We start from the raw sequence: 27,355 nt of genomic DNA, 5'->3' as shown, positions 1-27,355 counted from the left end.
AAGGACAAACTTCATTGCCAGCTCTTCAGTCCACAAACCACCATGTAAATAACAGATGAACATCAGGATCAGTGACCAATCACCTCCCTTCTTTCATTCTATTGGTGATTGGTCAATGGACAACAAACAGCCAGAGTGCAGTGTGTTGCCTGTCTTACACTGATAAACCCCAAAGGACTTTTTACAAATACAGATAATCCAAACGGGGCTGGCCAACAAAGATGAAAATGCAGCAAAGAAATGAAAAGTGATAATGCTGGAGTGAAATTTGAATATATGGAGTTACAGAAGAAAATGCTGACTGTGGCAAGGCTGACAGGGTTTGAGAGCCTCTAGATATACAGCCACAGAACTTACCAACATCAGTGAGGAAACTGGTTGTGATGGAAAGAATGGCAACGTCCCAAAGGAAGTGACTCCAGGAAAATACTTCACATTAAAGCAACTCTAGGAGATATTTCATGACATTAAAACTGCAAAGGATAAAATGTTGGAAGCAACCAAGGCACAGAAACGACACAGAGAAGTGCTGTTTAAACTACTATTGATAAGCTTTTTACAAAGAAATAAAATACTTTAATTCTCAATGTTCCTAGTATTTTAAATTATACTGTAGTAAACAGTAGTTTTACTATTTTTTTATTTCCCTACACTTTTGTAATTGACAAAAGTTTTTAGTGATTTAACAAAAATTTTTAAAGATCACAAAACAATTGTAATTTTCCCACTGACTATTAAAATTGCTTTGCATGGTTTCAGCTTGCATTATTATTTTTAGCTGTTTTACTTATCCTGCATAGCAAGGACTGCCTGTATTTATTTAAGTAAACTAATCTTTACTCAAAAAATGTATTTTAAAAGAATTTTCCTGTTTCCTTAGCAATAAATGTTCAATTCTGTGACACAAGAGATTACTGAAGAAACTGAATCCTTGCCCTATTTCCTTCTACTGTGGGTATGACCTTGCCTATGCAGCAACTGTCACAGCTTTGACAATTCAGGAGAAAACAAAAAGGCTCCCACTAGTAAAAGCAAAGTTCCTCTCCCTCAAAACCTGGCATTTATTTGCTCACACTTCACACACAGTTGTAAAGTTTGATAATTAGATTCGAGATATTAGAAAAACCATCCTAATGAGAAAAAAGAAACTTAGTCACATCAATGCAGAGACAAATAAAATTCAGCATCACAAGATAGAAAAATCTACCATATCTATTTACATAAAGCTATTAAAAAGACAAATGCCTAAAGACTTAAGGTGAATATCCCTCACTGCCCTGAGTGCATCATAATAAAATAAGCAATATTCATAGATATATTTTAAGATATCAAGAAAAAATATTAAGGAAAAAATTAAACCATATACAGCAAACTCTTTAAGAATAGGGTAAGAAGATCTAGCAGATTCTGGAAAAGTGGAGATGGAAATGTTTATGGAAATGTTTTGTGATTTTCTTGGATCCCACATAATTACTGAACAACTAGATAGCAAAGACATTTACAAGAACCCCAAAATACAAGTTGGTGGTGACAAACTACCACAGCCACAAACCCTAGTGCTACAGCACCTACGTGGGAAGCAATCCAGCCTTATTAAAGGACCTGAAAACAGGAGAATTCCCAACACCCAAGAGGTACGACCCAGAAGGCACAGCACCCAATTAGAGAACCGCAGCGCGCTAGGAGGAGGTTTGCCCACACCAATAGTACACAAGTGGCAGGGAACCCAAGGTAAGACATAAAGGGGCCAGGAGAGTTTAACCCCCATGAACCCTTGACACTAACCAGTCAGAGATCCTTTCCAGGAGAGGGCCTGCTATGAAGAGCCACTGCTGGGAGATGACCAAAACTAACAGGACAGGAAAAAGGGAGAAGGAACAGACTAACATGGGGCACAGGGACAGAGCCAGGAATTCTTAGGAAACAAGTGCCATAATTTTTTAACAGAAGAGGAAGTTGTATGAAGTTAGAAACGTTATCTTGACTAGCTTCCTTCTAAAAGTTGAGGAAAACTAAATTCACATAAAAAGGAAACAAAGTATAGAAGTTAAATCCCATACAAAGTTACTAAAAGTAAAAAAAAGGGAGGCCAGGTCCCTGTGACTAAAGCCTGTAATACCAGCACTTTGGGAGGCGGTAGTGGAGGGAGGCAGATCGCTTGAGCCCATGAGTTCGAGACCAGCCTGGGTAACATAAAGAAATCCTGTCTCTACAAAAAATACAAAAATTAGGCCAGGTGCCGTGGCTCACACCTGTAATCCCAGCACTTTGGGAGGCCAAAGAGGGTGAAGCATCTGAGGTCAGGAGTTCGAGACCAGCCTGGCTAACGTGGTAAAACCCCATTTCTACTAAAAATACAAAATTATCTGGGTGTGGTGGTGCATGCCTGTGATCCCAGCTACTTGGGAGGCTGAGGCAGGAGAATTGCTCAAACCTTGGAGGTGAAGGTTGCAGCGAGCTGAGATCACACCATTGCACCCCAGCCTGAATAAGAGTGAAACTCCATCTCAAAAAAAAAAAAAAAAATTAGCTGGGAGTGGGTGCACGTGCCTGTGGTCCTAGCTACTCGGGAGGCAGAGGTGAGAGGAGCCCAGGAGGTTGAGGCCACAGTGAGTCATAATCATGCCACTGCACTCCAGCCTGGGTGACAGAGTGAGATCCTGTCTCAAAAAAATAAAAATAAAAAATAGAGGGAATAAAGAACAGAATGATGTCTCTATGAGAATAAGCAAGAAAGACATCCTCAGCTCAAAACTAGAATGTACTATTTCTATAGTAGCTAAAAGATACTTTTAAAATTACACAAGGCAAGAGAGAACATGAATCAAAATTAGTCTATGAACTCAGAACGACCAACCCTAAAACATACTCCAACAAAATTACTGGATTAAAAAAAAAAAAAAAAAGCCTTTGGGTATTTTAGATTAAAAGCACACATAATTTTTTAGGCTAAGGAGGGGGGATTACTTGAGCCCAGGAATTGGAGACTAGTCTGGGCAATGCAGCAAGACCCTATCTCTTAAAAAAAATTTTTAATAATTAAAATAAAGGAATGTTGGTCAATTTTACTGAGGTTTTTCATAAGAGGCCATCATCTCACATAACACTGAATGAAGTTGGAACCTAAACTAAAATGTTAAATCAAAAAGTAAGACTCTGTAGTTCTGTTGTTCTACCCTATCCCTTTTTATTTTTAAATTTTTTAACCTAAAGAAAAGTTGAAAGTTTGGTACAATAAACACCACTCTTCATCTATATCAATGATCAGTAACATTTTGCTGTATTTGCTTTATTTCCATCTACATACACTTTTTCCACCTGAACGACTTAAACTGTATACCTTTCACTCCCCCAAAACCTTTTCAGCATGCATCTCCTACAAACAGGGACAATCTCCTATGTAACTACAATATCATTATCACATCCAAGAAAGTTAACATTGATAATTATCTACATATAAGTTTCCCCAATTGTCAAAAACAAGGTGTTTATGGTTTTTAAAAAATTCCATAATCTATCAAGGACCACACACACAGTACACACATTGTCATACATTGTCTCCTTCAACTATTCACCTCCTCACCTTTTTATAGTCTTTTATGGCATTGACCTTTTTTAAAGATCAGACCAGCTTTTTGTAGAATGTCCCACACTGGATCTCTTTGTTGTATCATGATCAGATTCTAGATAAACATTTGACAAGAAATTTACATTGGTAATGTTATCATGCCTCCTCTTGATATGATACAATGCAAAGACACAATGTCATTTTGTTCCATTACTGGTGATACTGAGTTTGGATAACATGCCAGTGTGCTTAAAAGAAAGAAAAAAAAAATCAGATTCAAATCTTCCTTTGCTCAAAACCTTACAGTGACTTCCCCTTAGACTGTTCAATAAAGCTCAAAATATTTCCCAAGACCTATAAGAACCTGGCCTACTCTTTAGCCAAACTGCTCTTTTAAAATTCTCTATTGCTCCAGAGTGGTATGCTGTCCTTTCTGGCTGAAAAATCCCCAAAACATAAATGAATCATTTCAAACTTGCCAAGTGAAAGAAGCCACGCATCTCTGAAATTACAATATATCTTAAATATTAATATCTTAAAATTCCACTAGTCCAATGACACAACTATCATTGCCATTGTTAATATTATGTTAATTCATATTGAGTCACATAAAGTTGCAGAAAAGCTTTTCCTTAAGGGAAAGGGATTCCCAGTGTGTCTCAAGGAATTTCTCATAGAACAGGAAGACATCCCAAGGCTTCAAGGGAAGAAACAGAGGTGAGCCCAGCTAAGTCATCAGGAGGCCGGGCACGGTGGCTCACGCCTGTAATCCCAGCACTTTGGGAGGCTGAGGCGGGTGGATCACAAGGTCAGGAGATCGAGACCAACCTGGCTAACATGATGAAACCCAGTGAGTGGAGATCACATCACTGCACTCCAGCCTGGGTGACAGAGCAAGACTCTGTGTCAAAAAAAAAAAAAAAAAAAAAAAAAAAGTCATCAGGAATAGACATGCTAGATTTTTTTTTTTTTTTTTTTGAGATGGACTCTTGTACTGTAGCCCGGGCTAGAGTGCAGTGGCGCGATCTCAGCTCACTGCAACCTCTCAGCTCACTGCAATTCTCTTGCCTCAGCCTTCCGATGAGCTGGGATTACAGGCACCTGCCACCACGCCCGGCTAATTTTTCATATTTTTAGTAGAGACGGGGTTTCACTATGTTGGCTGGGCTGGTCTCAAACACCTGACCTCATGATCCACCCGCCTCGGCCTCCCAAAGTGCTGGGATTACAGGTGTGAGCTACCGCACTCAGCCAGACATGCTAGATTTTTATATAACTCACCAAGTTTGCCATTTCTCTATGTATTCTGTGAACAGTTGAGTAAGATCCCTAGAAAAGTGTAGCAACTTATTATTCCTACAATTATGAATGGACAAGTGCAATCCCTTAATATTTTAGTCAGCAAAACATTTAAAAACCAACTGAAGGCTGAGCGCCATAGCTCACACCTGTAATCCCAGCACTTTGGGAGGCTGAGATGGGAGGATCACTTGAGGCCAGGAGTTTGAGACCAGCCTGGGCAACGTGGCAAAACCTCATCTCTACTAAAAATAGAAAAATTAGCCAGGCATGGTAGCACATGTCTGTAATCCCAGCTACACCGGAGGCTGAGGCACTAGAATCACTTGAACCCATGAGGCGGAAGCTGCAGTGAGCCAAGATCATGCCACTGCACTCCAGCCTGGGCTGTGACAGAGCGAGATTCTCTCAAAACATAGAACAAAACAAAACAAAACCCTATGTGTAAGTAGTACATGAGTCTTTCAAGTTTGTCTAAATAAGTCTCTTTCTATATACAGGTTAAACATCCTTAATCCAAAAATCTGAAACATTTTGGATTTTTGGATTAGTGGCACTCAAACAGTAAGTATAATACAAATACTCCAAAATCCAAAATCTAAAATACTTCTGATAAAAAATTCTAGGTATAGCTGACAGTTACACAGTTGTTCATTTTAGGTAACAAATGTATAAAATGCCTTTAGAAAACTGTGTTTATACCTGAGAAAAATCTGGAAGTCACAAGACATACCCTGATGCAATAATGTACAATATTAGATCTACATTTGGTCATATAAACAATGTTTACCAATTACCAACTGTTTCATGTTGCCTAAATTATGATCACTAACTTTTGTTCCATTAGTCTTATATTAACAAATGTGTAGATATTAAATATAAACAAAAATTTCAATCACTTAATTCATCTGAGTTCATTTTCACTACCTCCTTTAATCTGAGTACACAACAGATAGGATTCTATGGGAGTGCCTTCAATAAATTACTATGTTTAAGTTTTCAATGTTCGATAGATTTGGGAAATACAAGTCTCTACTGACATATGTTATGTCAGCTTTTCACTGCTCTTGGTTAATAACTTCATACATTGAAAAAACTCTTTTCCCTAATGAGATTTCAAGCTAGTAGGTATTCATTAAAGACTATTTAGTTTCTACGTGTTACGTATATTGTTTCAAATTCAATTATTTTTCCTCCTTAACTGAACCAGTTTGTACCTCTGACTGCAGCTTCATCTTCTTTTGCTAACCAAACACATCTCTTAGATTTTCAAAGTAGTCCAGACTCTCTTCTACCCTATCTACAAGGGGCCAATAGCTCCTTTCAAGTTCATGTGGGCACCTTCCCAGAATATAATGAACAGCTGAATGTACTATCTAAATCAATGAACTAAAAAGCAATTTAGCTTCAACTTAGTTACCAGTTCTAGCACCCACCTAAAGACAGCCAGAACCCCATACACATACCCTAATCATGGAATTGGGTTGATGAATTCTATCTTCTCAGGTAAACTGAATACAGTTCTACTGTATGTAATCTGCACATTATGAACACTAGGGGTAAGAAAATAGAACAATTCTCTATTATCTTTTTCTTCTAATTTGAGGGGAAATTTAAAGTTGGTCCAGGGCCACAATTTCTAATCTGATTTTTTAACCTTTGAAAACAACGCCAATTTTCCCCTCGAGTTTCAATTATCCTAAGACTTGTCTTTCCAGAAAGTTAAGGCAATACTATTTTGTTGACACAATATACGTATGTGACCAGTTCTCAAATAACTACGAAAAGTTGGCACTGTTGACTAAAATGAAAGTATACTGTTCTTTGCCTCGTGATTTTTTTTTCTTTTTTTTTTTTTTCTGGAGGCAGAGTCTCGCTCTGTTGCCCAGGGTGGAGTGCAGTGGTGCGATCTTGGCTCACTGCAACCTCTGCCTCCCAGGTTCAAGTGATTGTCCTGCCTCAACCTCCCAAGTAGCTGGGATTACAGGAGTGCACCACCATGCCCAGCTAATTTTTGTATTTTTAGTAGAGACGGGGTTTCACCATGTTGGCCAGGTTGGTCTTGAACTCCTGACCTCAGGTGATCCACCCGCCTCAGCCTCCCAAAGTGCTGGGATTACAGGTGTTAACCACCATGCCCAGCCTGCCTCATGATATTTAAATCCTTTTAATATTAATATATTATTAATATAATAAAGATTAAAATCTTTATTATAGCTAGTTTTTCTATTCAATAACAAGCATTAGCCAACTGAGGAACAAGGTTATCTTTGCGTAGGTTTAAACCAGTATCAATCAGCCCGAATCAACCTGCTTGTTTCCTAAAGCTGGCAACATACACAATTTTGAAAAGGGTAAACATTCAGTAAAAACTGTTGTCAAACTATCAAAATATTAGAAGGAAAAGTTCTGAACTATGTTCAGTCTGATTAGTTGTTCTGTTAAACTCCTTGGGTTTTTTCTTACATTCACCTTTAGTTGTCTTGACTCACTCTGCATTCCTGAGGAGACTGAGATCTAGTATTTTAACAAAAATTACTTTTGAAGGTGATTTTAAGTATGTGCACATGTATAGCCTGTTTGCATGAAGAACCAAAGGCATCTTGCAAAGAAGCGAAGAAATGAAAACAATACAGATGGATACCCAAACTCTGACTCGTTCTCTTCAGTTTGTCTCCCCATACTATCAATGTACTAATAAAGATGACCTTAAAATACGAGACAGTTTTTATGAAGAGATGAAAGATAATCAAAGGGCTGTATTTTTCTAAATATACTGAATTTGTGAACACTCTCAATTTTGATTATCACGTGATCACTATTCCTAAAATATTAACACATTTATACATTTTTTTTCCTTAAGAAATAAATTAGGCTAGGCACAGTGGCTCATGCCTGTAATCCTAGCACTTTGGAAGACTGAGGCGAGTGGATCACTTGAGCTCAGGAGTTTGAGACCAGCCTGGGCAACATGGTGAAACCCCATCTCTACTAAAAATACAAAAAAAATTAGCTAGGCGTGGTGGCGCACACCTACAGTTTTAGTTACTCGGGAGCCTGAGGCATGAGAATGGCTTGAACCTAGGAGGCAGAAGCTGCAGTGAGCTGAGATAGTGCCACTGCACTCCAGCCTGGGCGACAGAGTGAGACTCTGTCTCAAACAGAAAAAGAAAAAAAATTAAACTTCAAGTAATAGAGTGTCACAATTTCACAAGTATTTAGTATGTGGTAGTATGTGGTCTATTTTTCAAGATGTTTCTGTACTTCATAAACCCAGTCTCTTTTCTACATACGACCCTTTCTATTATACAGCATACATTAATTGCACCATTGGAAATAATGAATAAAATCTGAAAAAACTATTTACAAAATTGGTAAAATAGTATTAATAATGAGAATGAATCAAGCATGTATTCTGACTTTACCAGGGTAACCACATAGTTAGTGAAGGAACGTTTTTAAGCAAACTGTTACCAGTTCATGACAAAAAAAGAATCCATAAGTTTTATATAAGCATCCATAAATTTGCATAACAAGTTGACAAAGTAATTTTATTTCTGTTGCATCTATAATAAAAATTGGGGGCTTTTAAAATATATTGGATTTTAAATTTTCATTTGTCTAGAAATTTACTGTATTTTACAAAAGTAGCAGTCCTCAGTACTGGAAATGTTTTTTAAATGGTCTTCATTGCAGATGTTTGATAAGCACTGAACGGTGGCTATTAAAACCATTAAGTAAAAGGTTAATGAGAAACCTGATAATGACGGATAAGCTGGTAACATCTGAATCAACTAATGCAGCTTAACATACAAAAACAGACAACCAGACATATGTAACTCTCTTACTGTGATGCACTACATAAACATGAATGAAAGACTGGTCACATGTTGATAACTGCTGAACTGGATAGGGACCTGAGGGATCATTATATTCTTCACTGTACTTATGCAAATGTTTTCAATTTTCCATATATAACATCGTTGGCCCTAATTCTTCATCATTCCCTGTATCCATGATTTTATCACTTAAGTCTGCAGCTTGTCCTATTATAGATAGAACATACTTCCTCACCTTTGTCACTGGGCTCAAGCACAAGACTTGCTTTGGCCAATATAATGAGGGCAGAAGTCATAGTACACCAAGTCTTAATCAGTCTTCATTTATTTTTATTTTTTTTCAGACAGGGTCTCACTCTGTCACCCAGGTTGGAGTGCGGTGGTGCGACCTCAGCTCACTGCAACCTCTGCTTCCCAGGCTCAAGCAATCCTCCCAGCTCAGTCTCCCAGGTGGCTGGGACCACCCATGCATGCACCACCATGCCTGGCTAATGTTCTGTATTTTTAGTAGAGACAGGATTTCCTCATGTTGCCCAGGCTGTTCTAAACTCCTGAGCTCAAGTGATATACCCACCTCAGCCTCCCAAAGTGCTGGGATTGCAGGTGTGAGCCACCAGGCCCTGCTGCTTTAAGCAGTCTTAATGTTTCTACTTGCCTCTTAGACTTCTGCCACCATGAGAACATCATGAGTGTACTAGTCTCAGGAAAAGGACAAGATCAAGTGGAGCTGAGCAATGTCAGCTGACCCACAAACTCACGAACAAAAAATAAGTGCTTATGTTTGTATGCCACTTACATTTTGTGATTGTTAATTACCATTACCGTGGCAATAGCTAACTGAAATGCCACAGTACAATTTTAAAAATTAGTATCATCATATGCCTTTGTGAAGATGTTTCTACCACCAGCTTAAGTAACATTTAAAAAACTAATATCAAGCCAGGAGCAGTGGCTCACGCCTGTAACCCCAGCACTTTGGGAAGCCAAGGAGGGCAGATCACCTAAGGTTGGGAGTTTGAGACCAGCCTGACCAACATGGAGAAACCCTGTCTGTACTAAAAATACAAAATTAGCCGGGCATGGTGGCACACGCCTGTAATCCCAGCTACTTGGGAGGCTGAAGCAGGAGAATCGCTTGAACCCGGGATGCAGAGGTTGTGGTGAGCCGAGATCATGCCATTGCATTCCGCCCTGGGCAACAATAGCAAAACTCCGTCTCAAAAAAAAAAAAAAAAAAAAAAAAACTAATATCAAAGCATCCATAGCAGGCTCTTAATTATTAACATACTTTGTCAAAACATCACATTGTACCCCATAAATATATACAATAAATATTAATAACATATTTTGATTCTGCCTTTGCTAACAGAAATACATAAGAATGTAAGTAAAACTGTACCAAATGTCTATAATTATGGTCATCTCTCGGTGACTTTGTCTTTATGATAAACATTACACTGATTCTTTGGCTTTAGACATTAAAATACAAACGCACACTTATTTTTTTCTTTTTAATAAGAGGGTAACTAATGAAGGAAAGACATCAGAGAAAAGAAACCACTGAGAAGCACTATTAACCTCTAGAGAGCCAGACGTGGTTAACCCAAGATGTACCACCTTAGGCAAGATAATATGCCTAACAGACAAACCGACAGAGATTTTCTTAATAACTGAAAAAAGTTTTAACTTAAAAATACTGCACCAATACCAAGTTTGCATTTTTTAAAAACAACTTTGTTAAATCCAGAGTGCTTCTGATTCTATTTATTGTTCAAGGGAATGTTGTGAGTGACAGAAATGTTCTATATCTTGATTGGGGTGATGGTTACATGAGTACATATATATGTCAAAACTCAACTACATACTTAAAGATCTATGCACTTCACTGCATGTACATTTTACCACAATAAAAACAAGCAAAACAAAACACCTATTAGTGAGTTTTTTAAACTACCACCTCTCTCCACAAACTGACACTAAAGATACAAAACTGATACAAAAAGATACTACCACAATGAGCAACTGTTACCCTCAGCCTTCAGGGGCACTCATGGTCAAGCTCTGCCATGGTCAATAACAAGGCCAACAATCATCCAAATCTAAGAGCCAGTCTGTTAAAAAACCCTAAGTCAGATTAAACCCACCTTAGAAAAGATACAAAAATTATCTCAAAATGAAACAAAGACATAAATAAGAGCAAAAACTACAAAACTTTTATAAGAAAACATAGGTAATTACACAAATCTTTGTGATATGTATTGAATGAGGCCAACAGTTTTTTAGATGACACCAAAAACAAAAGTGACAAAAGAAGAAATAAATTAAGCCTCAAAATTAAAGGTTTTGGTGCTTCAAAGAACACCATTAAGAAAGTGTAAAAAGATAATCTACAGAATGGCAGAAAATAATCGCAAATCATATTGATAAGAAACATCTCTAGACTTAAAAAAAAAAAACTCTTAAAACTCAATAAAAAAGAAAAATAATCCAATTTTAAAATGGGCAAAAGAATTAGCTGGGCATGGTGGCAGGCGCCTGAAATCCCAGCTACTCAGGAGGCTGAGGCAGGAGAATTGCTTGAACCCAGGAGGTGGAGGTTGCAGTGAGCTGAGATCACACCACTGCACTCCAGCCCGGGGAACAGTGCGAGACTCCGCCTCAAAAAAAAAAAAAAAAAAGGGCAAAAAAGACCTGAACAGACATTTCTCCAAAGAAAATACAGAAATGGCCAATAAGCACATGAAAAAATGCACATAACCAGTCATTAGGGAAATGCAAATCATAGCCAAAATGAGATCCCACTTCACAGCTACTCTGATGGCTATAATCAAAAAGACAAGTGGGTCAGGCGTGGTAGCTCATGCCTGTAATCCCAGCACTTTGAGAGGCCAAGGCAGGCAGATCACCTGAGATCAGGAGTTCGAGGCCAGCCTGACCAACGTGGGAAAACTTCAACTCTACTAAAAGTACAAAAATTAGCCAGTGTGGTGGCGCATGCCTGTAATCCCAGCTACTTGGGAGGCTGAGGTGGGAGAATCGTTTGAACTGGGGAGGTGGAGGTTGCAGTGAGCTGAGATAGCACCACTGCAGTCCAGCCTGGGCGACAGAGACTCTGTCTCAGGAAAAAAAAAAAAAAAAAAAAAGACAAGTGCAGAAAAGGATGTGGAGAAATTGTGATGGCTAATTTCAGGTACGAACTTGACCAGACTAATAATACCCAGATAGCTAGTAAAGGATTATTTCTGGGTATGTCTCTGAGGGTGTTTCCAGGAGAGACTGGCATTTGAATCAGTAGACACAGAAAGGAAGATCCACCCTCATCCAATGTGAGCAGGCATTATCCAATAGCTGAGGCTAGGGCAGAACAAAGTCAAGGCAGGGGAAAGTCAAATTATCTCCCTTCTGGAGCTAGGACACCTTCTGCCCTTGTATATAAGAATTTCAGGATATGGCCTTCGGATTCCAGGACTTGCACCAGCAGCCACTCTCCCATCACCCTCCCCCCATCCCTCTCCCACCAAGGTTCTCAGGCCTTCAGACTCACACTGAGAATTACACCATGGACTCCCGATTCTCAGGTCTTTGGACTTACACTAAGTAATGCTACCAGCTTGGTAGGTTCTCCAGCCTGCAGACAGTCTATCGTGGGACTTCTCAGCCTCCATAATCGCGTCAGCCAATTCCCCTAACAAATTTCCTCTCATATATCTCTCTATATATATATCTATTATCTATTTCTCTATCTATAGCCTACTGTTTTTCTGGAGAATCCTGACATAAACTGCCACACAGCAGACAAAAATATAAAATGTTGCAGCTGCTTTGGAAAACAGTCTGACAGTTCACTAAAAGGTTAAACGGAGTCACTCTATGACCCAGAAATTCCACTCCTAGGTTTATACTCAAGAGCATGAAAACTTTTGTCTAGATAAAAACTTATACAGAAATGTCCATGGCAGCATTATTCATAATATTCAGAGTGAAAACAACCCAATGTTCATCAACTGATAAGTGGATAAATATAAGGTGGTATACATACAATGGAATATTAGCAGGTAATAAAAAGGAATAAAGTACTTATACATGCTACAAGATGAACCTTGAAAGCATTATGCTAAGTGAAAGCCACAAAACACCATATATTTTAAGATTCTAGTCACAAAATGTCCAAAATAGGTGCTACGGTCTGAATGTTTGTGTCCCCCTAAAATTCATATGTTGAAACCTAATCACCAATGTGATAATATTAAGAGGTGAGGTCTTTGGGAGGTGGTTAGAGCATGAGGGCAGAGCCCACACGGATAGGATTAGTACCCTTATAAAAGAGGCCCTAGGGGCTGGGCACGGTGGCTCATGCCTGTAATTCTAACACTTTGGGAGGCCAAGGCAGGCGGATCACCTGAGGTCAGGAGCTCATGACCAGCCTGGTCAACATAGCAAAACCCCGTTGCTACTAAAAATACAAAAATTAGCTGGGCATGGTGGCGCATGCCCAGCTACTCGGGAGGCTGAAGAAGAAGAATGGCTTGAATCCAGGAGGTGGAGGTTGCAGTGAGCTGAGATCGCGCCACTGTACTAGCGAGACTCTGTCTCAAAAAAAAAAAAAAAAAAGGCCCCAAGGTGAGGACACAGCATCAAGCACTTCTATGACCCAGGAAGTGGGCCCTCACCAGGCACTGAATCTGCAGGTCCCTTGATTTTGAACTTCTCAGCGTTCAGAATTGTGAGAAATTTTTGTTGTTCATAAGCCACTCAGTTTCTGGTATTTTGTTTTAGCGGCCCCAACAGACTAAGACAATTGGCAAATCTACAGACAGAAAATGAATTTGTGGTTGACTAGGACTGGGAGGGAGCGGTGGTTGCAGGAAAATGGGGACCCTTGCTGAAGGGTAGAGGTTTTTTTTTGGGAGGAGGGATGAGAATGTTTTTTTGACTGTACAAATGGGGGGTGATGGTTGTACAAATCTGTGAATACACTAAGAACTATGGGGTTGGATACTTTAAGCAGAGTACATGGTATGTCAATTATATCTCAATAAAGCTGTTATAAAAATTTTTTTAGGAAAAGTAAATGGTAGAATCCAGATTGAGGACATGGATGTTGACTAAAATTTCTTTTAATTTGCTTGCCAAATAATAAGTATAATGAAGTTCTACTGCTACCAATAACATCAAAATAATGATATATCTACAGGTACTTTTGTTCATCTAAAATTTCCCAAATTAATCAGAGATCGTTGATCCAAAATTTGTCCAAAGCAGAATTTTAGAAATCTGGAGTCCTAAATTTACATTCATAATAGGATTCAGAAGAATTACTGAGACTCGTTCTCCAAATTGCAAATGAGGTAGAAATTAAATTTACATGGACCGCTGTGAGTTTTGAGATTAAAAGGTTACTGTTTTTCCAGTGACAAACGGGAGTAACTAAACAGAAAACTTCACATGTCCAGGCAGCTTTAAAGGTTTGGGAAACATCCCTTGCAAGTGTTATGGCAGACTAGAGAAGATTATTTTACCTTAGGGTCAGGTTCAGTGCTGCTGGCTCACACCACTTTTAAAACACAGGTAATTAATGACACTCAGTTTTCAAGAATTTTAGAATAATACTCTTATTATATAATTAACTCAGAAAAATAATGCTAATGTATACACACTAGACTTAAATTTTAGCCAAATTTTAAATACACATCACTGGGGAGAAATCAGAGCCAAACTCAGAACAATATGTGCTCTATAAATGGAGTGACCATATGGTCCAGTCTGCCCAGGACTCTCCTGATGTACATCTGTTAGTCCGATATCCCACCCAGCTTAACATTTGTCTCAGATTTTTCTTTTTAACAACATACTATGAATAACTGCCTTAAAGTAAAATAGGACGGGTTTGTTAAACTTTCACCTTATATCTAATACCACCTTCGGCTATGGCTTTGTCTAGTGTTGTGTGGGTTGCAAGCATAGTAAACAGTTCTCATTTTTAACTTCTCGTTCAGTCTGAATGCCAAATACTGGTAACACATCCTTCCTTACTCTTTTCTAATAAAATCAAGTACTCTTGGACACAGGCAATTAAGGATAGCTAACTCTATCTAGTCTTGGGTGATGACAGGAGAAATATCTGAAGTTGCTATTCCTGCCGGCTACTCAGTGTACCTCCCAGTTGTGTTACAGCCACTCCTCACCTTGCAAGATGCACAGGAGCCTCGAGGCCATTATAAGCTGGGTCACTGGGAAATATGGGGTATTTGTGTAACACATGCAGGAAAGAGATGTTATATGTCCCTGTGTATAATGTACAGAAGACAGTAATCTGAACACTCTTGCCACAGGAGTTTTGCCATTTACTTACTAATTGTATTGTGTAAATCTACAATTTTTTTGTATGTAATATTTTATTTTGCAGCAATTATTATAAATTTAAATTTTCCACACCTTCTTTTTTTATGCTCATGTGCCCCAGTTTAGAGATCTTATTCCCTTTCACATTATAACAATCTTAATGAGTGTATAGACTTAACTATATAATCTCCTAGGTCCTCAAAACCATGAACCTGAAGCCATAGCAAGGGTCCACCAACAAGAAAACCAATTGACTGTTATGTTTTTACTATAATAAAGCAATTTTTTTAACCACCGTCCTTCTTGAGCAAATACAGAAGCATCTCTATTCCACAATAAGCATGAAAAAAATAATATTCTACGCAACCCAGAATTGTATATGCCACACAAAGATTTAAAATTCTATGAAACAATTATTTTTCTGTTGATTCACAAAGTGCTTCAGAATTATGCATTAACCCTGACACTTTCATTCATTTTCAGCATCTAAATATGGTTTAGGTTAGAAAGAGGCATAAAAACAAAGTTTAAGGCCAGGGCCGGACACAATGGCTCACGCCTATCATCTTAGCACTTTGGGAGGTGAGGCCGGTGGATCACCTGAGCCCAGGAGTTCGAGACCAGCCTGGGCAACATGGTGAAACCCCATCTCTACTAAAAATACAAAAGTTAGCCAGGCACGGCGGCATGCGCATTTAGTCCCAGCTACTCAGGAGGCTGAGTCAGGAGAATTCCTTGAGCCTGGGAGGCGGAGGTTGCAATGAGGGGAGATCATGCCACTGCACTCCAGCCTGGGTGACAGAGCAAGACTTTGTCTCAAAAACAAACAAAACAAAACACAGGATTTAAGGCCAGGCACAGTGGTTCACACTTGTAATCCCACGACTTTGGGAGGCCAAGGTGAGCGACTCACTTGAGGTCAAGGGTTAGAGACCAGCCTGGCCAACATGGTGAAACCCTGTCTCTACTAAAAATATAAAATTAGCCGTATGTGGTGGCACACGCCTGTAATCCCAGCTACTCGGGTGGCTGAGGTACAAGGATCACACAAGGATCACTTGAACCAGGGAGGCGGACATTGCAGTGAGCCGAGATCATGCCACTGTACTCCAGCCTGGGCAACAGAGCCAGACTCTGTCTCAAAAAAAAAAAAAAAAAAAAAAAAGAAAACAAAGTTTAAGAATGTACTACAACAGCAAAATTTGATTATTCTGGGTAGCAAATAATTATTCATTACTTCAAACAACATCCTTTGGAATGTAATTCATTAACCTTAAAAAAGTATCAAATACATTTGTACAAGTATAAGACAAGTCTATACTTTTTGTAAAAATTCTTAAAAGACTGAATTATTTTCCTTAAGTGACAAGTTGGCCCACGCTAAAGGCAATGTCATCCGAGATTCCTGGAGGAATTTCAAAACCTTTCAGGTCTAAGAACACACTACACTAAAAACCATTCCTTTTGTCTGCAGCAGTTCTTCCACTCTAAATGAATATCCTAACGGAATAAAATCTGAAAAATCTAACTTTTATCTAAGAAAAAAATTTACTAAGTTGTGACAAAAGGTGATATAGTTGTTTAATTCTCAGTACATCCCAGATAAAAATCCCAAGTTATATTCCCATTCCATTCAAAATCTTAAATTTGGAAATTCCAAACTTAAAATTAACATTATTAAATGCCATTAAAGATTCTGTATCACATGCAATCACTAAGGGAGAGTTTATAAAACATCTTTCATCCAAGTATGATATAACCTAGTCATAACCTCTCAATGATAGGACAGGTACCACCTTTACTCCAACCAAGAGTTTCACCCTTAGACAGGGGAAAAGAGTAGGAAACTTGACAAGTCACCCAAAGCATTACTCTGATAATGCTGCCTTAATAAAACTCAAGTTACTATGTCAAATACACCCCTGCCATAATAAAAAGTTTTTAAAGAAAAGCTGATCACCTATGCTGTGAGGATGCAAAGGCATAAGAATGACACAATGGACTTTGGAGACTCAGGGGGAAAGGGTAGGAAGCGGGTGAGGGATAAAAGACTACATACTGGGTGTTGTGTATACCGTTCGGGTGATGGGTGCACCAAAATCTCACAAATCACCACTAAAGAATTTGCTCATGGCTGGGCATGGTGGCTCACGCCTGTAATCCCAGCACTTTGGGAGGCTGAGGCAGGTGGATCACGAGGCCAGGAGATCAAGACCATCCTGGCTAACACAGTGAAACCCTGTCTCTACTAAAAATACAAAAAAATTAGCTAGGCATGGTGGCGGGCGCCTGTAGTTCCAGCTACTTGGGAGGCTGAGGCAGGAGAACTGCGTGAACCTAGGAGGCAGAGCTTGCAGTGAGCCGAGATCACACCACTGCACTCCAGCCTGGGCGACAGAGCTAGACTCCATCTCAAAAAAAAAAAAAAGAACTTACTCATGTAACCTAACGACACCTGCTCCCCAATAACATACGGAAATAAAAAATTTAAATAAATAAAATACTGGCCAGGCACAGTGGCTCACTACTGTAATCCCAGCACTTTGGGACGCTAAAGTGGGAGGATAGCTTGAGCCCAGGAGTTCCAGACCAGCCTGAGCAACACAGCGAGAACTGTCTCTACAAAAAATAAAAATTAGCAGGGCGGGGTGATCCACGCCTGTACTTCCAGCTACTCAGGAGGCTAAAGAAGTCAAGGCAGCAGTGAGCTGTGATCACACCACTGCACTCCAGCTTGGGTGACAGAGCAAGATCCTGTCTCAAAAAAATAATATAAATTAAAAATTAAATAAAATATTGTGTATAAAAAATAATTAAAATAACCCAAATGCTTTCATAGCTTTTAGGCCCCTCTCCAGTTTCTATCATGCAAAAACGCCGTTTTAGAAAATCCTGATAACTGAAATGTACCAGAAACAGGAATCAAAACCAGCTCTTGCCCAACTTTTAATTTATGAACTAAGATACACACAGCCAAGGCCCAATCAATGTACAAAGTAAGCCTTTCCTCCCAAGGGAAAGGTGGTTCAGTGGTAGGCTATGGAAAATAAGACTCCTACTTATTTCCAGGTGGGCCTCTTAGAAATATGCATAATAAAGTAGGTGATATAAGGTATTTCCCCATATTTAATATCTCTTTACTTAAAATGTTTATGATCACTGGCATGTTATGGTTTGTCAGGACTTTCTTCCTCAGGGGTACATACAATAATCATAGATTTGATGAAATATATTAATTCTCCAGATGTTCCTCTTGAAAATGCTTCCAATTCAGTCCACAACTAATTGTTAACATAGTTTTTAAAATGTTTAATTATGCTATAAAACATAAAGAACCTTGAAATAAAATTAATTCACCCTAGGCTCAAATATAGCAAACTGATAAGATTATCTTTGTCATTCCAACTAGAGCAAAACAAAGAAAAAATACCAGTTAGGAAAAAGAAAAATCCTCTTATATACTCTGGAAACAAATCTTATACTTTTCTGTCACTTAGTTTTGTGAAAATACTCCTCTCAAATGCACTATATATTTTTCAAAGCCCATAAATTAAATTTCAGTCCTTCTAACACCAGTTATTTCATCTATCAGCATAAAGATGAATCTTTCCAATGAGTTGTAAGACTCAAAACTAGGCAGAAAAATGCTTTGCAAGTCGACTAGTAATCGGGAAAGAGCTGGACAATGGGGTTTACATTTGCTCCTTAGGTCAGAAACTAAAGGTTTGTGTGTCTTAACAGCTCCCTGGACCTAAGCACCACTGGTGCCTTGGTTTAAAAGAGTTAAAATCAGCTACCTTATAATCTTTTACTCATTGTTCGACAAATACTTTTTGAATGATTACCGGGTGCTAAGCAACCATTCAAGAGGACCTCCTAAGATGTGACCCTTGAGCAGCACCTTTTAAAAAGAATGTTAAAATTCTGCCTGAACAAGGCACTACTATCTGACGTAGAGCACCAAATCCACCTCGAAGTATACAATCCCACCCCCCGAATGAAATTTAATTAAGTTTTTTCCTAAAGCTAGGCCCTCAACAGCGTACAGAGGAGGTGTATCTTAATGAAGTAAATCGCAATTCAAAACTGCACGGTTTCCCGCTGGCAAAACTGACTTAGTGAAGGTCAGAAAGAACTCCAGGCCAATGAAAATTTTAATACAGAGGTGAAAGCGAAGGTGCCCAATTCAAAAGCGGGACGAAAGTAAGAGGAACGGTCTAAGAAAAGTGAGTTGGAGGAGAGATGAGCAGCAGCGGTCAAACGTGCTCTCCCCGCCGGGTACGTCAAGGCGGCAACTTTTCCAGCACTCCGGAACTCCGGACTGCCCAGGCCTCGGGCGAGCTGGCACGGCTCGCGTCCCGGGGAGGGACCCCAAAGGCGGGGAAGCGGGTTACCCCGCAAACCAGCAAGCTCGACAGGGAGCAAGCTGGACGGGGGCGGGACCTGGACACACACCCTTTCCTCTCTGAGAAGGAAGCGGGGAGGGAGAACGGAGTGCGCGACCCTGGGGCCACCAGCCCTCACGCGGGCCTGCAGGGGCGTTGGGGGAGGGGGAAGACAGTGCAGCTCCGAGGGGTTCGTCCAGAACCGGCCTAACCGCCGCGGAGCCCAAGGCTGGCGGGGGGAATGGAGCGGGCCTCGCCGAGGGCAGGCGGGAAACGGGGTGGCGGGAAGACCAGAGGCCGGCCCAGCTCCAACGCCGCACAGGAGGCCCCGACCCTGCCCTGCCTTCGGCGGGCCCCGGGATCGCCACAACGGGCCCCCAGCCTCCCAGAGGGACGGGGTGGGAGCCGAGGAAGCCCCCACCCCGACACGCAGACACACAAGCCCGCTCGCCGCCCTACCCCCACCCTCGCGCCGCGCTCGCGGGCTCTGCGCCCCACAGCGGCGCGGGGGAGGCGGGGGCCAGCGACGCGGCCGCGGGGAGCTGATGCCCTCCCCGACGCCCGGACCTCGACACGCAGACAAGATCAACAAAGCATCGCCGCTCCCGAGATAAAACATGCCACAGGCCCCGACCAGGGACTCTACGACGCGTGGCTGCCCGGGGCGCAGGGCTGCGCGGACGGGCTGGGGGAAGGGGGTGGGGAAGGGCCTCGCGGGGTGGCTCCCCGGTCCGGGAGCCTCGCCTCCGCCGGGATGCGGTGCTGCAGGGACCCCCACGCTGACCTTGGAGTCTCCGTTGCACAGAGCCATCGGGGCCAGGGCCGGAGCCGCGGCGGTGACGGCGACAGTACGAGACGGGGCGGGAGGGTGCCGGAAGGGTCGGCGCCGCGGGCTGAGGTTGAGAAGGAGGCCTGGTCGAGGAGCAGCCGGCAGCGGAGAGGAGCCAGCCGCCAGAAAAGCGCCGAATGGAGCAACAGCAGCGGAGCGCGGGCCCCAGCGCCGCGGGAGAGAAGACCAGCAGCGCGCACGCTGCCCCCGCCTCCTGCTTCCGCCCCGGCCGGCCACTGGGAGGAGCCAGAGCCCGTTCGGCTTGGCAGCCGAGCCTCAGATACCCTCCGCAGCCGCCGCCAAACCGGCCGGCCCTCGAGAGGAGGGGCTCGCGGCGCCCGGCCCCGCCCCCAGCCCGGTCCCCGCCGGCAAAGCCGGCCGGGTCTCCCGCGGCCCGCCCTTGGGAGGAGGAGCCCGCGGCATCCACCGGCTCCGCCCCTCCTGCCCTCGCACCGAGGAGCCCGCCCCGGAGGAGGGGCCTGTGGCGCCGGCCAGGAGAAAAACCGAAGCCGAATCCGAGCTAGTTTGCTGCTGCCGGATTTGCCTGCTACCTTGGATGACTTCGGGAGGCTGGCGGCACCGAAGAGGCCTCCTGAGAGCTGGGCCCCTGGCGGAACTCTTAGCCGGTGGCGTGGCCTTATCTCAGGTTGCTGGACATGAAGGAGGCCAAGGCTGCTTTGGAAAGTTCCGTGGCCATATCTCAAGGATGTCATTGTAGGAACTGATCACTTAGATACTTCAAAAGTTATACAGCTCCCCACAAATACAGCAGGTGCAGTATTTCCAAAGAAAAGGGAGTTTGGGAGTGGTAATCTGGTGAGCAGCTGGCCCAGGGAACTGGTCGTGAAGCTCTGTTTGCACAACAGTGTTTTTATTGGAATTGTTTGTGGGGAAGGGGCTGCAGTCCCTCCACCTACCCCTTGGCAACCATCATGATGATGAGGTGTTACTTTGAATTTGGTTACCTAGAGGCCTAAATCGAGATTGGGGTATAAAGAATAATACTTGAGATGGCTTCCAGCTAACAAAGCCTTTCCACAAATATTTTTATTATAATACAGCCAACATTTTGCTGCAGTCATTCTTGTGTCAGACTGTAGCTAGGGTATTAAGGAGCCAGAGTGAGAAAATACTTTAAAAGCTAACTTTAACCAATCCCGTGAAAGTAGTAAGGTAGGATTGATGTTCTTATCCTTTTTACAAATGAGGAAATTGAGGCTTAGTGAGATAATGTGCCTCTCAGTATATATAGAATGTAAGGCCTGCCCAATCTGGGAAAGTGTAGACAGTTTATTAGTGAAATATTTACAAAAACGAAAGGCTTAAGGTCCTAGTGGGCCTGAGACTTAAGTATTTCGCTTACCTTTTTTTGAACGGAAAATTGAATATTTGAACTCTCCAAAGCCATGGATACTGGCTTCTCTGGGTAGGTCTGTATGCACAATCTAAAGAAGAGTGCAGTAACCAATAGGAGAACCTCAACTTACATAAACATCCACCCCTAATGGAGTGGAATGTGATGTGATATACTGGCATTAAGGATTGGCTAAGTCCCATCTATCTTAAACAATGCTTAGTTTAAATATATTCTAGGCTGGGCGTGGTGGCTCACACCTGTAATCCCAGCACTTTGGGAGGCCTAGGCGGGTGGATTACCTGAGGTCAGAGTTCCAGAACAGGCTGGCCAACATCATGAAACCTGTCTCTACTAAAAATACAAAAATTAGCCAGGCGTGGTGGCATGCGCCTATAATCCCAGCTACTCGGGAGGCTGAGGCAGGAGAATCGCTTGAACCCGGGAGGTGGAGGTTGCAGGGAGCCAAGATCATGCCATTGCACACCAGCCTGGGTGACAACAGCGAAACTCCATCTCAAAATAAACAAATAAATAAATAAATTCTAGTGGTCACCTGTGCTTAATGGCTAAGAATGTTGGCATGCACACAATATAGGATCCTGATATTCTTTCTTCTTTAGCTTCTGACTCTATTGACCCATCCCTCTTTGTTGAAACTGGATTTTCCTTAAAATGCACCAAAAAGTTGTCTTTTTATCTCTGTGATTGCTCTTGGTTGCCTTTGCTAGCTCCTTTTCCTATGTCTGGCCTTCAGGAGCTTTAAGTGTTGGATTTCTTCAGTATTTCTATTCCTAATCCTTTTCTCATCTTACTCTTCCTTGGAGCACTTGTTTAAAAATACAGACTTGTTGGCCAGGTGCGGTGGCTCACACCTGTAATCCCAGCACTTTGACAGGCCAAGGCAGGTGGATCACCTGAGGTCAGGAGTTCGAGACCAGCTTGGCCAACATGGTGAAACCCTGTCTCTACTTAAAAATACAAAAAATTAGCCAGGTGTGGTGGTGGACACCTGTAATCCAGCTACTTGGGAGGCTGAGGCAGGAGAATTCTTGAACCTGGGAGGTGGAGGTTGCAGTGAGCCAAGATCGTGCCACTGCATTCCAGCCTGGGCAACAAGAGTGAAACTCCACCTCAAAATAAATAAATAAATAAAATACGGACTTGTTAAAATACCCTTAATATGCTCTATGTTTTAACAACTCTGTTCTGTGCTCCAGACCCAGATAACTATATTCATCCTCAGTTCAATTGTCAGTGTCATATTAGGCCCCAAACTCAACAAGTTCAAAACAAAACTTCTTTCCCAAACTTCTTATTGACACTCACTTTTTATTTTTCTTTTTTTTTTTAGATGGAGTTTCGCCCTTGTTGCCCAGGCTGGAGTGCAGTGGCACAATCTCAGCTCACTGCAACCTCCACCTCCTGGGTTCAAGCAATTCTCCTGCCTCAGCCTCCCGAGTAGCTGGGATTACAGGCCCCCCCCAACCATCATACCTGGCTACTCACTGACACTTATTAGGGAGAAAACATTCAGTCTCTCACCAATAACCTGTAGGTTTTCATAGATGCCCTTTATCAAGTTGAGGAAGTTTCCTTCTGTTCCTATTTTGCTGAGAGTTTTGGTCAAGAATGGATGCTGTCAAATGCTTTCTCTGTGGCTATTCAAATGACTATATAGTTTTTCTTTTTTCAGTTTTTGAATGTGTTAAATTACAGTCATTGCTTTTTTTGTTTATTTGTTTTGAGATGGAGTTTCACTCTTGTCGCCTAGGCTGAAGTGCAATGGTGCAATCTTGGCTTACTGCAATCTCTACCTCCTGGGCTCAAGCAATTCTCCTGCCTCAGCCTCCCGAGTAGCTGGGATTACAGATGTGTGCCACCACACCCAGCTAATTTTTGTATTACTAGTAGAGACCGCGTTTCACCATGTTGGCCAGGCTGGTCTCGAACTCTGACCTCAAGTGATCTTCCCGCCTCAGCCTCCCAAAGTGCTGGGATTACAGGCATGAGCCACTGTGCCCGGCCCTGTTTCATATATTTTGTCTGAGTTTTTTTGTTTGTTTCAGGCAGGAGGGTAAATCCAATCCCTGTTACCTCCTCTTTGACAGAAGCAGAAGTCTGGAAATCTTTTTTTGTTGTTGTTGTTCCTGTAGATCCATGCCTGCTGAATGGAAGTCTCTTTTAATGATACATTGAGGCAGCTTAAACCTACAAGGTCTTCCTTCTTTACCTGTCATATAAATATTTTTGTTAAGGGACAAAGTTGCCTTGAATTCAAAAAACGTAGGCAGCATAGAACAGTGATGTTGAGTCCTTTAAATGCAATTGTATGATTTCTAGGACCAATACATTTTTTCAAAATACAGTTGCTAAAACCCACAGATAGAAATTTCATACAATGTTTCAGATTTGGTATGTATCATGTCATAAAATATGTATTTCAGGAATAATACATGGTTACCTTATTTCATCTTTCAAAATGTTTAATATTTTCAACCTCCCATTAACAAAAAATTAGCTTTTAAACTTATGAGAAATATTAGTTGTTAAGATGTGGAAGGAGGTACACAGTTTTGCAAAATTCTTTTAGGGCAGTATGTGAGTATGTGAGATTTTTTTTTTTTTTTTGGGGGGTGGACAGAATCTCACTCTGTTGCCTAGGCTAGAGTGCAGTGGCACAATCTCGGCTCACTGCAACCTCTGCGTCCTGGGTACAAGCCATTCTTCTGCCTCAGCCTCCCAAGTAGCTGGAATTACAGGTGCGCAGCACCATGCCTGGCTAATTTTTTTTTTTTTTTTTTTTGAGACAGAGTCTCGCTCTTGCCACCCAGGCTGGAGTGCAATGGTGCGAACTTGGCTCACCGCACCCTCCACCTCCTGGGTTCAAGTGATTCTCCTGCCTCAGCCTCCTGTGTAGCTGGGATTACACCTGTGCACCGCTATGTCTGGCTAATTTTTTTGTATTTTTAGTGAAGATGGGGCTTTGCCATGTTGGCCAACCTGGTCTCAAACTCCTGACCTCAAGTGATCCACCCGCCTTGGCCTCCCAAAGTGTTGGGATTACAAGCATGAGCCACTGTGCCCAGCAAAAACTTTTTTTTAATTGAAGACAACCATTCTAAAATACAAATGTGATCATTTTATGGCTCCCCACAGCTCTCAGGAAGAACTCCAAACTTCTAGCATTTCTTATTAGGCACTTGGAGGTTTGGCTAGCCCTTGTTTACCTTGCAGCCTGCTCTCTTACCACTGCCCCCATCACTCTACTCTCTAGCCATATTAAACTGCTTCAACTCCATAAACATGACATGTTCTGTCTTGACGTGGGCCTTTTGTACATAAATATCTTCTGTGTGGAGTATTTCTGATTCCCTCCCCACAACTCTGAAGTCTTGGGTTACATGTCTCCTCCTCTTGTGATCCCATAACCCTTTCCTCTTCATTAATACTTGCCACCTTCTACTTTTTTTGTTTTTGTTTTTGTTTTGTTTTGTTTTTGAGATGGAGTCTCGCTCTGTTGCCCAGGCTGGAATGCAGTGGCGCAATCTCGACTCACTGCCACCTCCACCTCCAGGGTTCAAGCAATTCTCCTGCCTCAGCCTCCCAAATAGATGGGACTACAGGCGTGCATCACCATGCCTGGCTAATTTTGTATTTGTAGTAGAGATAGGGTTTCAACATGTTGGCCAAGCTAGTCTCGAACTCCTGACCTCGGGTGAGCCACCTTCCTCAACCTCCCAAAGTGCTGGGATTACAGGCCTGAGCCACCGTGCCTGGCCTAGATATTACTATACTCTTGTCACCCTTTTATGATTGAGAAAACAGAGAAATTAACTAGCCTGAGGCCTGAGCCCACATAGGTAGTAAACCACAGAACTGAGATTCAAACCAAGCTAACTGGTTCTAGCCTTTATATTGTTTGTTAAACATTCCAAGTATACTTAACCAATCTCAAAAGGCACAAGCATCACTGGGAAAATTTTCTTTTTCTTTTCTTTTTTTTTTGGACGGAGTCTCACTCTGTCGTCCAGGCTGGAGTACAGTGGCACGATCTCAGCTCACTGCAACCTCCAACTCTTGGGCTCAAGCAATTCTCCTGCCTCAGCCTCCCAGGCAGCTGGGATTACAGGCACCCACCATCATGCCTGGCTAATTTTTTGTATTTTTAGTAGAGACAGGGTATCACCATGTTGGTCAGGCTGGTCTTGAACTCCCGACCTCAGGTGATCCGCCAGCCTCGGCCTCCCAAAGTGCTGGGATTACAGGCGTGAGCCACCGCTCCTGGCCTCTTTTTTTTTTTTTTTTTTAGACAGAGTCTCGCTCTGTTACCCAGGCTGGAGTGCGGTGATGTGATCTCAGCCCACTGCAACCTCCCTTGCCCTGGTTCAAGCGATCCTCCTACCTGAGCCTCTGGAGTAGCTGGGACTATAGGCACACACCACCTCACTAGGCTAATTTTTTGTATTTTTAGTAGAGACAGGGTTTCACCATGTTGGCCATGCTGGTCTCAAACTCCTGACCTCAGGTGAGCCGCAGGCCTCGGCCTCCCAGAGTGTTGGGATTACAGGTGTGGGCGACTGTGCCCAGCCTCAAGGCCCAGATTTCTAAACTGAAAGTAAAATATCTGGAGTACCTCCTAAGCCCAGGATATTGAACCTTGTCCATCAGGCGAAAAAGAGACTATCTTAAAAAACAGAACTTTAACGAGCAAACAAAAAAAACTCAGAACTTTCCTGAATATGGCAGGATTTTACAGAATTTGGATCCCAGGATTTGGGCTCATTCCTAAGCAGTTGTATAAAGCCCTAACAAGGCCAGAGCATAAACCACTTAAATGGTCAAATAAACAAGAGGTTTTGGGTCGGGCGCGGTGGCTCATGCCTGCAATCCCAGCACTTTGGAAGGCTGAGGCGGGCAGACCACAAGATCAGGAGTTCGAGACCAGCCACGACCAACATGGTGAAACCCCGTCTCTACTAAAATACAAAAAATTAGCCGGGCGTGGTGGCACGCGCCTGTAGTCCCAGCTACTTGGGAGGCTGAGGCAGGGGAATTGCTTGAATCCAGGAGGCGGAGGTTGCAGTGAGCTGAGATCATACCATTGCACTCCAGGCTTGGGGACAGAGTGAGATTCCGTCTCAAAAAAAAAAAAAAAAAAAAAGAGGTTTTATCTGAACAAAGAGGGGTTTGCACAATAATAAACCACACCTATTGTTCTTATATTAACAACTCAATTAGTTAAACTACAAATTAATTAAACTAATATTAAACTAGTTAAACTAGTATTAGTTAAACTACAAATTCAAAATATTTACCAACAGGCTACCTGGCTGCATAATTTCAATAGCTCCACTACTCGAACCATCTGGGACTTCATTAAAGGATACCTACCAAGTGTGACATAGTTCCTACCTTTCCTAGGATCTTTAATAACTATCTTGTTACTACTAATTTTTGGTCCTTGCTTGTTTAACCTCCTTGTAGTCTGTGTCTTCTAGGTTGCCGCAGTTCAATGCCTAAATAATGGTCATACAAAGATTGCAGCCAATCCCTGCCTCATATTCAGACTCTCCTGATGATCCACCCTTGGGACCCTCAGACCAAGCAGCCAGAGATTTCCATACCCTCAATAGGCAGGGCCAATGCCCCATTCAACAGAAAGTAAATACATAAGATTGACCTCCTCCCTCATCAATCCTGAAAAATAAAAGGTAGTCATCTCTGAGAGGGGAAAAT

General features: G+C 42.0%; 1 protein-coding gene across 6 annotated transcripts in view, besides 3 other annotated features; it reads right to left on the bottom strand.

Moving 5' to 3' along the window:
- GMPS (guanine monophosphate synthase) overlaps window positions 1-21,685 on the bottom strand; it is a 74,591-nt gene extending 52,906 nt beyond the window's left edge. The window contains exons 1-3 of one of the 6 annotated variants that reach the window (XM_047449145.1): window positions 20,218-20,465; window positions 3,584-3,683; window positions 358-473 (exon numbers count right to left, since the gene is read on the bottom strand). In XM_047449145.1, coding sequence (XP_047305101.1) covers window positions 358-363 — 6 coding nt within the window. In that variant the 5' untranslated portion in view covers window positions 364-473; window positions 3,584-3,683; window positions 20,218-20,465. Of the gene's footprint in view, window positions 1-357; window positions 3,546-3,583; window positions 3,684-20,217; window positions 20,466-21,625 lie in introns of those variants that run through there. The other 5 variants (XM_017007422.2, XM_047449146.1, XM_011513263.3 and 2 more) reach the window with 5 other exon arrangements.
- Window positions 19,611-20,830: a silencer, noted in NCBI's record as "silent region_14834". NCBI's record gives its function as "represses an Ori minimal core promoter by ATAC-STARR-seq in GM12878 lymphoblastoid cells {active_cell/tissue: GM12878}" and the evidence as "EXISTENCE:reporter gene assay evidence [ECO:0000049][PMID:35858748]".
- Window positions 19,672-20,431: an enhancer, noted in NCBI's record as "H3K27ac hESC enhancer chr3:155588473-155589232 (GRCh37/hg19 assembly coordinates)". NCBI's record gives its function as "activates a minimal SCP1, AML or CMV promoter by ChIP-STARR-seq in primed H9 embryonic stem cells {active_cell/tissue: H9 hESC(primed)}" and the evidence as "EXISTENCE:reporter gene assay evidence [ECO:0000049][PMID:30033119]".
- Window positions 20,971-21,020: an enhancer, noted in NCBI's record as "active region_20725". NCBI's record gives its function as "activates an Ori minimal core promoter by ATAC-STARR-seq in GM12878 lymphoblastoid cells {active_cell/tissue: GM12878}" and the evidence as "EXISTENCE:reporter gene assay evidence [ECO:0000049][PMID:35858748]".

The sequence above is a fragment of the Homo sapiens genome, chromosome 3 (genome assembly GCF_000001405.40).
Source record: "Homo sapiens chromosome 3, GRCh38.p14 Primary Assembly".
In the NCBI taxonomy this organism is placed as follows: Eukaryota; Metazoa; Chordata; class Mammalia; order Primates; family Hominidae; genus Homo; species Homo sapiens.
The sequence above is the reverse complement of the archived record's forward strand: the minus strand, read 5'-3'. Positions and strand labels throughout refer to the sequence as shown.